We start from the raw sequence: 18,047 nt of genomic DNA, 5'->3' as shown, positions 1-18,047 counted from the left end.
GAAAAACTTAAGGTTCCTTTGCTAAAAGGTTCTGGATCCAATAAGTTTGAGAAACACCTAATTAAAAATAGCTTAAAGGATTTACTTATTTTAAGATTTCCCCAAGACTTTTTACAATCATTAGCATTTTATTTTCTAAGAGCAAGTAACATAATCTCTGGTGCTACCCAAATTTAATATGAAACACTTTTTGGGAAAACATAGGATGTGCTTCTGAAAGAATACACTTTGAGAAATGGAGGTTTAAATAAGCCCTAATTTTAGTGCAATCATAGAATGACCACAAGAAAAATGGAGACTAAGTTATTGCCACACCATATACCAGCTATTGTACTTAGTAACTTAGAATTTCAGTCTTGAATTGTGCTACGATGAAAGAGGCAGGTGGCTTACGATGTAATTCAATAAAGTGTCCCTTTGTACACTTGCAAGATTGCAGCAACGCATCCAAAAAAAAGACTAAAAGCAAGAGCTACAGAAACAAATCCCTTGTGTACTACAGTGATCAAATCGCTAAAGAAATAAACACAAGGAATAAAAATACATGACTACCATACCATAGGTAGGCCTGCAGTTCACATGAAAGATAAACCCAGAAAATAAGGAGTGTTACCATGTCCATGTGTTTATAAAAGCCGGGCGCGGTGGCTCATGCCTGTAATCCCAGCACTTTGGGAGGCCAAGGTGGGTGGATCACGAGGTCAGGAGTTCGAGGCCAGCCTGACCAACATGGTGAAATCCTGTCTCTACTAAAAATACAAAAATTAGCCGGGTCTGGTGGTGCGCACCTGTAGTCCCAGCTACTCGGGAGGCTGAGGCAGGAGAATCACTTGAACCCAGGAGGCGGAGGTTGCAGTGAGCCGAGATCACGCCACTGCACTCCAGCCTGGGCAACAGAGGGAGACTCCATCTAAAAAAAAAAAAAAAAAAAAAAAAACAGTGACAGAACAACACAACTGTGCCCTATTTATCAATGGCCAAGGCTTATCTTTGTTCTCTTTTCCCTATTGGCAAATTTCCTAGTCTCCTTGAACAAATTTCCTATTTCTGAGACTTCCACATAGGACGTAAATAATCACAAGAGACCACTGCTCACAATATGAGTGAAGACAGAAAGAAAAGCTAGAAGTGAAAAGTAGGTTTTCAGTTTGGCTGATTCCTTCTTACCCCATCCATAGCAGATTCCTCCTCCTCCTGCCAATCCACCAGGGGTGAGAGAAACCATGGGCCTCTTCTTTCCTTTGAAGAGTTTGCCCATTTCTGGAATTTACATTTTCAAGGTTTATTTATGTCCTTAGCATATTTTATGATTTTTTAAACTATGATTTTTATTACTTACCCAGGTTATTTTGACTGTAGGAGTGAGAGCAATGGTCCCTGGTCATAGTCTACCTCCTAAGTGGTAAAGGAAATCTCAGAAATAGGAGTTTTTGCTTCTTCTTGTATCGGTAATTTTTCAAGTAGGTGCTAAACATTTTAAATCTCGGTAGAAACTGATGCTGAGATAAATACTACTTAGCTTCAGAAAAAGGTATGCCTCTTCTGCGTCATACACTGTAGTAGGGTGCTGAGTCATTCTGCTCCCTGCTTGAGCTAGGTTTGGATATTGTTATGACCCATGGCCAAGAGAAGACACACAGATACAGAGGTAGTCAAGATGCTGGTGTTATCAGACAGACTAAAAAGTATGCTAAAGGATACAGTGGCAAATGTATGGCAACATAAAGAAGATGTGGGAATTTTTAGCAGAGAGATTGTATTATAAAAACAAAAAAGAAAAATCTAGCCTGAAGAATATATTAGAATGAAATGGGCTTACTAACAATGAAATGGGCTTACTAACTGGCAGAGTAAAGCAAAATAAATGATCAGTACAGTTAAGTCAAAATAATAGAAATTATCCCAAATGAATTGCCAAGAAAAAAAAGCAAAAACAAAACAAAAATATAAAGAACGCCTAAGATCTGTGGGACAATATTAAACTTCCTAATATAGATATAAATGGGGTCCCAGGAGAGAAAAGAAAGTGGTTTAAAGATGTATTTAAGTAGATAATGTCCAAGGACATCCCCAAATTTGATGAAAATCATTAATCCACATACCCTAGAGGCTCAGCAAATCCTAGGCAGGATAAATTCAAGGAAAACCACACTTGGGCGCATCAGAGGCAAATCTCTTTTTCAGGCAGGAAATAGATAAAGGTATGTGAGGTAATGGAAAGGGAGTATCTATAAAATAAAATTTAAAAATCTCAAAACACATTAACCTGAAAAATGTTAAAACAGGCAACAGAGTTATCAAGATACTGAAACCAGTTTCTAAAAGTTATCACCAGCCTCTGAGCACTGGCCAGCAAAACCTGTGCCAGGTTTCTCTTCTCAAGTACTACTGGGAAACAGACTCCTTCCAGAATCCACAGAAGCAGGACAAAACTTGATAAAACTTGCCTGGTTAAATGCTTAATTTTGTTTAAAGAGTTGCTGGTTATGTTTTGACTTGTTTTTCTTTTTGCCTGACGGGTAAGGGGACTTGGGGGCAAATGAAACACAGAAGTCCCTAAAGGTAAAGGGATAATTTCAGTAGTTCTTCATAAATAGAAGCCAAATTGAGTAACTTGTACTTAACCTTGTCTGTGATCTTTTCACCTTTAAATTTAAAATATTTCCTACACCCTTTCTCCAAACAAATCACTAATCCTATCTTGGCAAATTTCCTGTTACACAAGTCTTTGGCAAGCACAACTCTGATGACTGGGAAAAGTCAACAAATTATAATTCACCGATTTTTTAAAGTCTTTAAAAATAAAAATTCCCATAAGGATAGGAGAGGTGGGGCTGTCACAATTCACCTATGCATACTCAACTTTTGCCAGCTGCAAAATAGGAGAAAAATAACTGCATTCTTGTGTTAGGAAAGAGAAATGGACTGAATATAATTTTCCTCTCAGATGTTTTTGGTCACAATATTCAAGTGGACTTAACATAGAAATTCCAGCAGCTGAAATCTTAATAGCCATAATGAGTATGATCTTTACACGTATTCTTTATCTTATGCATGTTCTGAAACTCAATCCCATCCTTTCCTTAAAAACCCAGAAAAACCAAAACAGCTGTCATTTTGCTGGATAATAAATTATAATGTTGGGAAGCAGTATCATGAAAAATATAAGACTTTGAAAACAAAAACAAAACTTCAAAACAATAGAAAATTCAAAATAGAATTATAAAATTTGCTACAAAGATAGCACAATGGGATCTTCTGGGTGCTGGTGATGCTGTTTTGTTTTCAGTCTTGGTGCTGATTACATGAGTAGAGTCAATCTGTGAAAGTTCATTAATATTTGCACTTTTCTGGATATGTGTTACTCTTACAACAGAAATAAAACAGTGTTCAAGATCTATGGGAGGGAGTGATTCTTCAAAAGGCAGCTGGCTATACTCACCTTCCAGTCTAAGTACTCAATCTCCAGCACTTAGCACAGTGCCTGGCCACAAAGTGAATGTCAGTATATATTACATTAGTGGAACTGAGTTTCAAAGATATTTTTTACCTTTGGTATTTTTGAGTGCTTTAATACTGTGTTTCTATCATACCTTATACAAAGCATCACGGAAAATAAGTGGAATCCACTCTCCTTAGAATTACTTGTATGGGTCTGAGTAGAGAGATGTTAGGCTGAAAACAAATGAGATAAGCTCTGTAGTCTTCTACTTCTCCTTCTCGTCCTTTTGTTGCAATAAACTTTAGAGGATGGTGAATGTCCTCAAACGTCCATTGTTAAGGGGAAGCTAGACAATTCAGGAGGAATCCAGTAGAAGTTAGAAGTGAGCACAGAGGTTTAGCAGCTGGCTCAGAATGAAAGGAAGAAACTCTGGGTCAAGAGCTCTGGATTTCTTTATGTTTAAAAAAACCCACTTTTTTTGGAATGGTTAATATATTACCACAGTCTATAAAGTATAGAGAAGCATTTAGTTTTTAAAAAACTCCTTTCCATCCTAGTCCCCAATTCACCCAGTTCCCACATTTCTCTCCCAGAGAGAACCACTGTTCTAAGTTTTGAATGAACTTGTCCAGAATTTATGAGCAAAATATGAGCAAATATGTAATATCTGACTACATAAGCCAATGAGTACATACTCTTATTCCCCTCCTACTTTTACAGCAAATGAAACATATTAAGCCTACTATTTGGCCCTTTGACTTTTCCCTCTGATCAGGAGATTCTTTTATATCAGTGCAAAGCCCTCAGTCTTTTACATAGCTGTATGGTATTCCATAGCACGAATGAAACATAATTTGTTTATCCACTTAACTACTAAAAGATGTTTGGGTTGTTTCCAATCTTTTGCTATTAAAAAGGATGCTATAATAAATAATCTTTTCCAGGACTCATTCAGCATGTACACTGGTCTATCTGATGGCTTTACTCCCCAAAGAAGAACTGGTGGGTCAAAAGGTACATGTATTTTGATTAACATTGACAATTTGCCATCTGCAGAAGTTGTTCTAACCTACACTCCCACCAGAATTATAAGTAAGAAAGCTATTTCCCAGACCAGTGTCTCATGCCTGTAATCCCAGAACTTTGGGAGGCCAAGGCTGGTGAATTGATTCAACCCAGGAGTTTGAGACCAGCCTGGGCGTCATCGCGAAATCCCATCTCTACAAAAAATACAAAAATTATCTGGGCGTGGTGATGTGTGCCTGTTGTCCTAGCTACTCAGAAGGCTGACTTGGGAGGATCACCTGAGCCTGGGGAGGTCAAGGCTACAGTGAGCCGTGAGTGATGGCACCATTGCACTCTAGGCTTGGTGAGAGAGTGAGACTTTGTCTCAAAAAACAAAACAAAACAAAGAAAGCAAGCTATTTTCCCAGAAAGCATAGCTGCAAAATACTTTTAGTTTTAGATTTCCAGTTTTAGAAACCAGAAATACTCCCAGGTTTAGATTTTTGCCAACCCAATAGGTAATTTGTGTATGTATATATATATATATATATGTGTGTGTGTGTGTGTATATATTTTAAACACATAAAATATATATATATATATCAGTACAATTTTTAATTTGTACTTTTTTTTTGAGACGGAGTCTTGCTCTGTCACCCAGGCTGGAGTGCAGTAGCGCAATCTCGGCTCACTGCAAGCTCCGCCTCCCGGGTCCACGCCATTCTCCTGCCTCAGCCTCCCGAGTAGCTGGAACTACAGGCACCCGCCACCACGCCCAGCTAATTTTTTGTATTTTTAGTAGAGACAGGGTTTCACCATGTTGGCCAGGATGGTCGCCATCTCCTGACCTCGTGATCTGCCAGCCTTGGCCTCCCAAAGTGCTGGGATTACAGGCGTGAGCCACCACGCCCGGCCCATTGTACTTTTCTTATAAGGGTAGTTGAGAATCATTTCCTATGCGTATGAGCCATTTATTCATATTTGCTTTTCTGTGAACTGTTCATTTGTTTCCTTTGCCCATTTTTCAATAGAATTGTTAGGGGTCTGCAGTTCTTCTTAAAGCCAACGGAGACAAAAAATCCTTGTAAACTGGGCTAGGAACCATAAGGAGAATGAACACTCTTCCATCAGCTTTGCAGCTTTACCTAGGTCCATAGGAGCCAGGGGCCAGAAGAGTGGTATCTAGGCCAAAAGAGTTCTCTGACATTTAGGTAAAAAGAACATCACGATTACTTGAGGCTAAAAGAGAAAAAAAGAAGGTATAGTGGTTGCCTTCCTCTTGAACCCTGAGAAATCTTGCATTGCCCAGCACAGTCCATGCCCCAGGAAAGAGGCCAAGCCCTTCCTAGATGTTGGTGGCAAGGACTAGGCTATGATGGCAAAGTACAGAGATTAACTGGTCTGAATCCTGGCTTCACCTTTTACTAGCTCTGGGATCTTGTGTGAGTTATTTAACCTCACTGCCCAAAGGTGCTGAATTGTTGTGTACAAATTTGCCAGGTAGGTAGAAGATGTGTTAAGAGTAGCCCCAAAACACAACATGATACTTTTTCTGGACACAGAATTGGCCATTTGAAATATGGGAAAACATTATCCTTTTAGTGTGATACACGCTGTCATAGCTTTGTCCTGCAAACTGGCAAACGTGGCCCACAGGAATTGACATTGAACATCTAAGACAGTTGTCCCACAGAGTTAAACAATGACCAGGAGAGAAGAAAATTCATTTATCTGGCCACTGCAAGGTCTTCCTTATGATCCAATCATGATAGGTATTTATCTATTTATTTATGTCTAACTAATGCTTGCAGCTCAAACTGCTTTATCCTTTGATAACAGGAGGCTGCCTTTAAATTCATTGAGAGATTTTTCCACTTTCCTTCATGAGTCATCCATGCCTCCCGGCCAGTCATAACAGAAGCAACTGACTGTAGTAAAAAAATCAATGAAAAGGTAGAGGGCTTTTTCTATGCCTTAGGAACGCCTGATACCTCTAGCAATTTCAGAAAGTTTTACATTTCTATTGTTTTTGCTTTTAAAGGCTTATGTTTTTCATGACGTTGTTTTCCAGCATCATAATTTAGTACCTAGTACAAATGACAGAGGTTTTTGTTTTCCTTAGTTTTTCAGGGCTGTCCATCTTGTTCTGTGTTGCTTGATCTTGTTCGGTTTGTGGAAATTCATCAAGCTGTACACTAAGGAGTCCATATTATATTTCAATAAGAAGTTTTATATACATGTGCACACACTGAAAGAAAATGGTCAGCCTCCACAAAGAGGAAGCAGTTGCGAATGCCAGGCCCGTGCCGGTGGTACCATCTGTGGAAGGCATTTCTACCTCTCGTCTCCACTTTAGGTACGTCCATCAGGAGTCAGCAAGGCTTAGTGGTTAAGAACAGGGGCTTAAAGCCAGAGTAATCGGGCTTGAATCCTGGCTTCACTTTTACCAGCTGTGCGACCCTGTGCAAGTTACTGAACTTCACCCTGCTTCAGTTTCCTCATCTGCAACATGGTGCTAACAGTACCCAAAATCCTCAGGTTGCTGTACAGATGAAAGTGGTTCACATGTGTGTAAAGCAACTAGAAGCAGGCTGGACCCATGGGAATACTGTGTCAGTATTAGCTATCCCATTGCTCCCCATAGCAGTACTTACCTTACAGGTGGCTGCATCCACTTCTCACTCAAGCATTTAAGCCTCCCTTATATCATATTTCTTTGCTTACCAATTTATTCTTGTGGAGATCCAAGTGTAGAGGAGAGAGTAGGCTGACTCCTCCTCCTCAATCACCCATCCATTTACTTACCTGCATGGCTACTTTCCAGTCCTAGGCCCTCCCCTCCTGCCTCCAAGCAATCTTTCTCTATATCTGATGGATATTCGGCTATTTGCACATGCTCCTATGAAATGTACATTATGTGGTGTGTACTTTTAATTGATTGACATTAAAAGTATGATACTGCAGAATTGATTTTTTAAGCTTGGTTCCACACAGTGATATGTTTTAAGCTCTATCCACATTGCTGTGTGTTCCTTCGGGCTGTTGCTTCCAATGGCTAAATGGTACTCTATGACATTCCCCCATTTACCCAACCACCCACAACTGTCAATGCCCACAAAACCTCTGACTTTCTGTCATGACAATGCTCCAAAAGGCACCTGGGTACACGCCTCATACAAACATGCCCTCTTTAGGATTGAGGCCGCTGGGTCATAGGGCAGACTATGTCTCATTTAACTAAGTACTGGCTGTACTTACACCAAAACAGCCTGATCACTCTACGGAGTGGCTTCAACAGATCGTCTAATTATAACATTCCTAATGAGGTACATGGTGTGACTTCCCCCATTGTACTGATACAAGATTTTCCCTTGGCTTCATAGCTGGTACACACAATTTGAAAATAGGGCACATGACCTCGGAGCTGCAGTGTCTCCCACCACAGAGGGCCATGACAAGAGCATACCTTCCACCTCTTCTTGGCCTGTGTCACATCCCCTATCTCCTGGCCCAACCGATGACTACTGCATGCATTCACATAATGGACAGGCCTAAGCTCATATTGTTTAAAAAGTCCCACCTCACCTTCTAGGCCCACATGGAAAACCACCACTTCAAGGACACCTTCTCTGGCTGCCACTCAGATCTCCCTCCACTCAAAAATCAACATTGCATTGATAGTGTTTACCAGGCAATTCATTTATTGTCTCTGCTTCATTTACTTATTTTTGCCAGTTAAACGACACTCTGGGGGTAAGAATTAAACACTGCAATTTATATTCCTCCATGGCTAACACACTGCTGAGTGTACGATAAGCATTTTTTTAAAAAGTATAGTAGAACTGGGGCCAGGCACAGTGGCTCACACCTGTAATCCCAGCACTTTGGGTGGCCAAGGCAGGAGGATTGCTTGACCCCAGAGTTTGAGAGCATTTCTGGGCAACATAGCAAGACCCTGTCTTTACCAAAATAAAAATAAAAACGTGAGCTGGGTGTGACAGTATGCACCTGTAGTCCTAGCTACCTGGGAGTCTGAGGCATGAGGATCACCTGAACCCAAGACTTAAGAGACCACACTGAGCTAAGACTGTGCTACCGCACTCCAGCCTGAGTGACAAAGTGAGACTCTGTCTCTAAAATTATTTTTTAATAAAAAAAATACATAGAACTGTATAGACTTTTAATAATGCAGACATTTTACCTCAACAATCATGTGGTACTAACTGCTTATTTACAAATGAGGGGAAAAAATAATGATTACCAAATAACTATGGTAACAGTAATCATAACTTAAAAGATTGTTATAATTTGGTACTCATTAAGTGCCTGACCATGTGGTAAAAATTTTTTATGCATTATCTCATTTAATCTTCAAAATAACCTGATGAGATTGAGATGCTTTTGTTCCCTATTTTTCAGATGAGGAAGCTGTGGTTTTCTCAGGGTGATTAAGTAATTGACTCAAAGTCATAGTTAATAAGTTTCAGAAATGAGATTCATGCTCATTTTAGTTAGGACCAAAGATAATTTATGGATGACTGATGTAAAAACACAAAAAAACTATAAGCTGCCTCAGAATTTTCTATTAGAAATTTATCATCCCTGAAGGCTTTTATAAAGTTTACATAGTACAACATTTTATGTGACTAAAATACTCCCAGAATAATTATGGCAACCAGTCTTCCAATCCCTTCCTCATCTTTCTATGTCCTTAAATATAGTAACTAGTATTGCACCCTCTGAAAAAGAAGAAATTATTCTTTAACACTTGAAATTCCTAAGACTAGGAAGGTGTTAATTACCATCCAGAAACTCAGTGCATAATAAGGCTCAAAAATGTAGACATTTTAAAGCCTATCCCCTTAGTGCTTAAAAATCAACCTATTTTTTTGATGCTACAGACAGAAACACAATTCCTTGATTTTCCATTACCTTTATATTATATCATCTATGCAACTATGAACTCTGGCCAAGGCAGCTTCTTGTCCCCTGTGAACAGTGGGTTTCTAAGGTGTCAAAGACACTTATTCTTCAGATAGGTAAAAATGAAAAAAAGGATCAATCCTAAAAGGTTTATAGTAGTGAGAAAAGAAGACCATCTGCTCTGAGATAGCTCTGGGCTGATTTTCCCAGCAGGAAAGCCCAGGTTTTAGAAACCTTGTTATCATTAGAGAAAGGTAAAGAAATTGCTGAGAATTAGGATAAAAGATTTTCAAGCCCTACAGCAGACCGAAACCATGTATTTTAGAATTATATGCAGGTTTATATAAAGTTGGATTATCTGTGAATTTGGGTAGTTTGGTTTGTTTTTTAAAGAAGGGTAGACTGTTACAACACTTTCGGGTTTTGAAATTGATCAGATGCTATGCCTACCACTATTTGCTCTCACATACTCAAAATCTCATACCATCTTTATGAACCTGTTTATTCTGGATCAGCAAAGCTTCCAATGTAAAATGACAGCTCATCTAGAATAAATCATCATTATTCTTTTGTGCTGAAATGCCAGATTTGAAAACTAATCCTCTGTACACTCTCGTGTTCCCTTCTGTCCACCAGATCATGTCCCTGATGCTCCCATATCAAATAGATTTTTATTTAACAGAGGCCTTTACCAGCTCTACAAATAACTGCTCCATGGTCTTTGAACTACTATTCCTATTGCCCGTTTTGCTTCATTCTTTGTTCATTTGCTGTATTACGGAGCTCATACTGAGGGACAGTACAGGTGAGCATATTCTCAAAGTGAAAGGCACTTTAGAAATTCCCAGCAGACAAGCTTAGCCAATCAGAGGCACAATACTTATCTTTGTTTTCCCCCTAACCCTTTACTCTTAGTCTAATAAAACAGATTTAAAAGCTTGTTTTTCTATACTCAAAGTACAAAAGGCTTTCTAAGACAAAGAAAAAAATCAGGCTAAAAAAAAGCCAACTCCTTGAGCTGAAAATGAGCCCCTTATTTCTGGCCCATATTTTCCCTATAGCTTTAAAGTAATTTCTCTTTTAAAAATTAACTTCCTCTGAAGATACTGAGAGAAGACTGCCTAATAATAATACTTTGCAAGGAATAAGGAATGACATGTGTAGAGAGATTTTTAGGATTGAGAAATAGCAGTCGAAAATCTCAGACTACATGGTGATATATCTAGTTCTAAGGAGCCTTAGTGGAAAAATGCAACAATTCCATAATTTGATTAACAGAACATTTCTTATACTCTCCTCATAGATGAGAAAATCTAGAGCAATGGGGCTCAGTGTTAAATGATCACCCAAGTCCACAGAGCTGGTTAATGACAAAGCCTAACATACAATCCAGTCCAGTCTATTATTTGCACCATATCATATTGCCATTGTAAAGCTAAACATTTCTATCGGAACACACTTCTTCAACGTAGACTCACAATAAAATCAGTGTTCTCAAAAGATTTGGCAGCTGGTTTACCGTAATTTGTTACTGACCCCCAGAATATAGGAACCTGTAATTTGTAAGAATTCTTCACTACGACTCAGGTTATTGAGTTGAAAATGACATAGTGCAGAATCTAAGCAAAGTGTGCTTATAAAGAAAGGTCACTAGCTACATACATGCACATTTCCATTTGCCATTTACTGTCCAAGTAATGTATCCACACAGCAAACCGTGGCTTCTCCTATGGCTTCCTAAGGTTAGAAAACATTTTTAGGCCCTCCTCAAATTTCTACTACCGCAGTGTTTTGAGGAGGAAAGAATGTGACCTTTTAAACCTATTTGGTAATGTCGCTGAACCAATTCACACGGCACATTAAGGCAACAGACATCTTCTCTGTGGCAGTTTAATGAGTTCCTCTTAAAGTCTGTCTAGGAAAAGAAGCCATGATTCTTGCTCAAAACAAAATGGAACAGCAAAAAGACTCTCACCACCAGTAGAAGAAAGTTAGCTAATTTATAGTGTACTATAGAACACACTGCATGGTGAGGCACAGTATTTCTGCAAATGCCAAGACAGAATGAAATGAATACAGGACAAAAGAAAGAGGGGGAACAAAAGCACATGCTGAGCTGAGTCCTTAAAACACCACTGATCATGAGGTGCATGCTGTGTATAACAGTGGATGTACTTAATGCACCCAGTATTTTAGTGCCTCATTAGTGAAAACTCCTAGGTAGGGTCCAAGAAGGCCCCGCCGTACTCTGAGTTGTGCTCTACATTAGCAAAATTCACATGTTACATGATGAAACCATATGACTTATTCGAAGCTAGTCTATTTTTTCCTTCATGTACCAACAGAACTCCCGGGACTTCACCTCGATGCTACTGAGCTAAAGTGAGTTGTCTGCGGCTCGGCGGGAAGGGATGCCCTAGACACTTAATGAATGTGACAAAGAGCTATGACATCTGTAGTCTAGTTTCAAACACTTCAGCATAGAAAATGTAATATATTTATGGATTAAAATTATATCCTGGCCAGGTGTGGTGGCTCCCGCCTGTAATCCCAGTACTTTGGGAGGCCGAGGCAGGTGGATCACCTGAGGTCAGGAGTTTGAGACCAGCCTGGCCAACATGGTGAAACCCCATCTCTACTAAAAATACAAAAATTAGCCAGGCATGGTGGCAGGCACCTGTAGTCCCAGCTACTTGGGAGGCTGAGACAGGAGAATCACTTGAACCCAGGAGGTGGAGGTTGCAGTGAGCCGAGATCACGCCACTGCACTCCAGCCTGGGTGACAGAGTGAGACTTTGACTCAAAACAAACAAACAAACAAACAAACAAACAAACAAAAAATTTATATCCTATACACAGTCAGTGGTTCTAATCAGAATTTACTTCCCAAGGGTGGTAAACTAGCATTATATCAGAGGTATCTGTGTCTTAGTCAACACCAGAGATTTTGCTAATTGGCATACTCAAATGGATTTTCATTGGTGAAATCAGTATCAGTGGCTTGCTGCTCACATGGCAGATGTTTAAAAACAGGCTTTCGTCAATGAAACTAGTGGTATTTAAGATAAGTGAATTGGCAAAATTTTCCACCCTTATATGAACAGAGCATGAGAATCTAGGGATGTCTACAACTTTTACCCTCAGGACATCTGATGATCAGTTGCTAAATGGCCTTATGTCCAGCAACTGGGTCAGAGGATTCCCATTCCCTGGTGTCCACTCAAAAGGTGAGAGAATCCTGCCTCTCGAAAGTTGACACGTTGACCTGGAGTGGAACTGTCGTCTGGAAAAATTTGACTGGAGCACTTAAAAACGCCAGAAAGCTGGAACTTCATTGAGTTTACAGGACAGGCTTCATGAATGCTTCGTGCCTGTCTGCTAATAACTGTTCAATTAAAGTCTGTTACACAGAACTGGCCTGAGACTTAGTTGAGCTGTGTGGGATGAGCAAATCCTCACACAAAACTTCAACCACTTTTCTGTGGCTACTGCTATCTATTAAAAAGAGTTGGGCATGACCAATTGGCTTAAGACTATTCTCAACACGTACATAACATGTATAACTGCTGCCCTGAAGCCAACCCATCCCAGCTTGGTAAATTTTCAGTTTTCCAAGCCAGTTGTTAAAAATAGCCATTACTGTGAATTAAAAATATCTAAATTTAAAGTAAATATATTACATTGAAAACAAGGGTAACACATACTTAAAACTGATACACTTCCTATGTAGTTTGCTACATTTTAAGAGGGTTTACATCAATTGTATTTATACGGTGGAAAAACTACATAATACAACTATATAACAGTGTTCCACTGGGCCTCTCTTCCCAGCTCTGAGTTCGGGGATGTCACACTGGTACCGGAAACTGGCCAGGGTGGGAGTATCTACACCAGGGAAACCAGCAAATGCTACCATCAGGGATTTGTTTCATTTTTCAGGACTGGTTGTTAAACACTTACCAGAACACCACTGACGTGTATGGTCTTGATTTAATAGAGAAGACTTTGACTCCTCTCAATATCCATATTCTAAAGCCCTGGAATATACCAGCATAAATAAAACCCCACACCCTGTTTACCGCAGCGGGACCACGCCGCCATGCACACCCGTTGCCCAGGGCAACAGGACACACTCACTTTTGAAGCAGCTGGGTCCACTAGTCTCTGGCGATGTCGGGCTGAGTTGAAATGGCTCTTCGGAGGCTGCCCTTCCTGACAGTGAATGGAAGATGGGGAGTGAACGAGAGGTGGGAAGGGAGAAGGTGGGGTGTGGGATGATGGAGAAATGGTCAGAAAAGGGAGAGGGACAGTGTTTAACGGCACTGTATTTTGTTTTAGCTAAACATCAATAACAAAAACACAAGACACGTTCTCCCCCACAAAAGCACATGTGATGTGCAAGTTATTTTATTATAAACAAACTTGTATGTGCAAGTGTGTAATAAAGTCACAAACACAACCCAGTATTAAGATATTTCCCATCAAATCTACATTTTCCTATTATTTGATAATTGTCTGTATTTCAAAAATACTAAGGGAAACTGGAACATGATTTCTCTGAATATGAAGTCCATCTTCCTGAAATAACAGAAAGCACTGCGGAGTCTTCTTAGGGTTAGACATCCCACCCATTTAGATATGAACAAAATGATGTGGAAATCACAATCTTCCTCCAAACCATGACAAGTCGCCTGCCTCAGAAGCTCCTGTGTCCATCATCCTGGCAGAATTCGTAGTGTCTGACAGCCACCAAAAACTATGCCCCTAAATGCACATTGTATTTTATTGGCTGAAACAGAGATTTAGCATTAAGTCTGTAATTTAAACCTATGTAAAAGAGTGGTCTCTCCTAAGACCGATCCTGTTAATGCCCTCATATACATATTGGACATATGGGTCACACGGAAAGGCATAACACCTTCCTATTATTCATTCCATGCCAAACACACAAACACACCACCCAAGGTACTATATTTTAAAAGGGAAGTTTGGAATGGGGCCTCATTAATGGTATAGAGTTTTACTTCTCCACCTCTCAGAGCTGGACAACAGTGAACAAACTTAAGAAGCAAGTACTACCCACTGTGAGCATTAACTCCAGGGAAAGGTTGATGAAAGCAACCGAGAGATGGTCTCACAAAATCCCTGGCTTTAAAGGCCCCATGCAAGTGAGAGTCAACACCAGCAGCGAAATGACCCTCAGATGAGGGCTAGCATTTGCTCAGATCTCTTAACAGAGGAGGGTGAAAAGACCTCCTTAGATAAAAATGCAATTTCTATATTACAATACTTAAGTATTCTTTTTCTTCTTCGTCTAGGAATAACAGCTCTATACTTTTAAGACATGTATCAATCACACCCACTTGAGTTGCCCATAATCACTGCTTCGGCGTTCACAGTATAATGCTTACCTTTCAAAAAGGAAATGTTATAAGTAGCAGATTGCCAGTCAGGATTATGTTTTTCCTAGTAACCGCCCTGCCAACATGCATTCTTTCTCTACCTTCTCTGGGAAAAAAATGCAAGGAAATAGTCTTGAAACTCGGCTGACCTAGAAAATGTACCAAAGCTTTAAGAACAGAGAATCTATCCGTTGACCCACTGACCATTGAGCAAAACAAAACCAAGCAAAAACCTGAGCATGTCTTCCCATTTCCATAGAATCAAGAGTTTTCACATGAGAAATACAGTGTTTGAAAAACAGCATCATGGATTATTTATTTAGTTTGATGTGAAAGTGCTCCTTTCAACTTAATGGTTTATCAGAAGGTGATTTTAAACCTTTTTTCCCCCTAAAAGAAGTTATCAAATGTAAATAAATAATTATCCTCATTAATCTATGTGAAGAACCGCCCTTACTAACCTTCCCTATGGAATGATTACAACTGATTTAAGAGTTCTAAAGCACAGTGCCAGGCTCCTACTCATCGGGAAAAAAATTAATCTCAGCATTAAATACACAGTTACAGTCAATGTGCAAATTAACTAAATCCTGGGCCTGTGGTTTATTGCTCTTCTTCTGACTCCAAGGTGAAAATGTTATTTTATTTTTTAATTAGCTAATTGTACCATGAACTCGGCAGGGGGCAGATGTTGATATTAAACCCAGGATCTGAATCTTAAACTCCCAGTAGGTGGGAGACTAATTTAAAGAGGGCAAGCACATCCTTTAAGGGTTAGGTTTTTGAAACCTGGTGTCCATTTTATGTAATTTATTTTCAAGTACAATAAATCTGTAACAATAGTCTGCTTGTAATGAACAAATAGGGCTATGAAATAATCAATGTATTTACACAGAAATTCCAGTAATACATCTTCATAGAAACAAGGAAGAGCCTGGAGGATTAAAGTCATTTAATAAATTGCATATGGAGTGAAAATAAAGGAACTGTAAACAGCTCACCACAAGTTTTTCTCCATGTGACTGATACCTTAAACTAACCTTAATTTTCAATGAACTAGTCACTTGGTATCCTATTGCTAAAAAAAAAAAAAAAAGTTTGTGATGGTTATTTGCGTATATATATACATATACGTATATACACATATATATGTATATACATATATATACACATATACACACATATATATATGTTAGTTTGGTGACACTGAGACTTTGTGGAAAGGTGCACATAGCTAGAACCAAGAGGGGAACCTTTGAGAAGAATTTAATTCCTCAGAAGCTGAACATGCCTGCTTCTTCACTATAGGGAGATCCTACCTGAAAATATTTTTCTTTCCCTATTCCCAGTCTTGCTACCTACCAGATCCTATGACACATCCAAGAAAGGTACAAACTCTAAACCTTTGAGCTTAGTCACTTAAGTACAGCTATTATCAGTTCAATCATGTAATACTTTATGCATTTTTGAAAAAGCAACCAGGGCTCTCATAAGTGGTATCACAGGGAACTGATGATCCTATATAACAGGTTTGTTCACATAGCTTTCTGTGTTCAGGAAAACATTAAATTATGTCACTCAACACTAAAGGCAAAATTTGTGACTTCATTTTCCCAAATTCTAAGTTCTAAGAATGCGTTTCTCTTTTTCTAAATGACAGCCTTCAGACTCTGGCACTGTCATTCCAGACTGAGATATCAGTCTCCTGGTATCACTCACCTCCTGGTTAATGCCATCAACATCAGCAAAATAACAAATTAGATCTGGGCAAGCCCCACAGGGCTCTAAACTGAATGGCTTATTTACATATGCAAATAGGGCTCTTCACTGCAAGGGGAGCTGGCTGAGGAAGAGGTGGATTCCTCACCATTAGTTTTGTGAAAAAGGAAGCACATTCTATTGCTCATGTGAACCCAACCAAAATCATTTTGCTGGGATAACTATCATTAATAAAAGAAGCAACTCTCAGTTATGTAAATAAACTCTTAGAGACTAACAAAAGAAGAGTTGACATGTGCATAATGAAGAAACTTAATGAGACATATTTCATCTCTATGCTAAATGCTTTCACCAAGCCTTCTCTTATTAAGTCATTTTAGAAATTATAAATATCCCTTAACACTACAGATCATACTTTTTAAATAAATTATTGTTCCCCTAACATTACAGATCTGATAGCTTAGTACTTTAGCTTAATTTGCATCATGTAAACATATTTACAAGAATGCTCTATGGAAAACAATGTATCAGGCGTGAAATAATGGGTGCCCAGTGAATTTAGTTGCTAACATCAGACGATTTATAAAAGCCTAATTCTTTAAATCAGGTATAAGTTATTGTATATCAAAAGGAGAGGCACAAGGAAAATTTAAAACTAAGTATATCTATAATTTTAGCATTAGTTCCATTAAAAAAAATCTGTCATTAGGCATTTCTAGCCTAGAAAACCAGAAAATCATATATCGGAGCATATATTTGAGGGCCTCCCAGCCTGCTTCTTAAAAGTCCATTCAAAAGAGTTTTAATTAGCTGGGCATAGTGGCTCACGCTTGTAACCCTAGCACTTTGGAAGGCTGAAGTTGGGGGATCCCTTCAACTCAGGAGTTTGAGACCAGCCTGGGCAATATGAGGAGACCTACTTAAAAAACAAACAAACAAACAAACAAACAAAAAAGCCTGCCGTGGTAGCCCACGCCTATGGTCCTGGCTACTCGAGAGGCTGAGGCAGGAGGATCACTTGGGCCCAGGAGTTCAAGGCTGCAGTGAGCCGTGATCACGCACCGCACTCCAGCCTGGATGATGGGGCGAGACCCGGGCTCAAAAGAAAAAACAAAAGCAACAACATAAAAAAGAGTTTTAATTCTGAAAAGAATCACATGCATTTTCAGAGAAGAATAAACTTATCTACTCACCTCTGAGATAGTTTATATCTCACCCCCAACCAAACCTCTTACTAAACACTACATTTAAATGTAACAAAGCCATTACAAATAGGCACTATTAAAGAGATCCCTGAACGTAAGTAAAGCCATACAGGATTATACAAAGTCAAAAATATTCCATGAAAATAAGTCAATTGATAGAATCTGTAAGACAGGGAGATTTAACCATTATCAAGCCTATCAAAATAGGGATCAGAAACCCAAATGAACATCAAAGAAATGTGCCGTTTAGAAGTAGAGCACATTTTCAATTATGACATCATAGGCTTCTAAAAACCCACAGAACTAATCACAATTTATGAAACTTCTATTATTAATAACCTTGTAAGGAGA

At 39.1% G+C, this 18,047-nt stretch overlaps 1 protein-coding gene across 16 annotated transcripts in view; it reads right to left on the bottom strand.

Moving 5' to 3' along the window:
• The window catches only part of MAST4 (microtubule associated serine/threonine kinase family member 4), a 573,201-nt gene that overhangs the window by 285,234 nt on the left and 269,920 nt on the right, over window positions 1-18,047 (bottom strand). Inside the window, exon 5 of one of the 16 annotated variants that reach the window (XM_024446044.2) lies at window positions 13,508-13,582. The exons of 14 other annotated variants lie outside the window; for them this stretch is intronic. In XM_024446044.2, coding sequence (XP_024301812.1) covers window positions 13,508-13,582 — 75 coding nt within the window. Of the gene's footprint in view, window positions 1-1,339; window positions 1,496-13,507; window positions 13,583-18,047 lie in introns of those variants that run through there. One more of the 16 variants, XM_047417164.1, reaches the window with a different exon arrangement.

This window comes from Homo sapiens, chromosome 5 (genome assembly GCF_000001405.40).
Source record: "Homo sapiens chromosome 5, GRCh38.p14 Primary Assembly".
Classification (NCBI taxonomy): Eukaryota; Metazoa; Chordata; class Mammalia; order Primates; family Hominidae; genus Homo; species Homo sapiens.
This window is presented reverse-complemented; position numbering and strand designations above follow the sequence as displayed.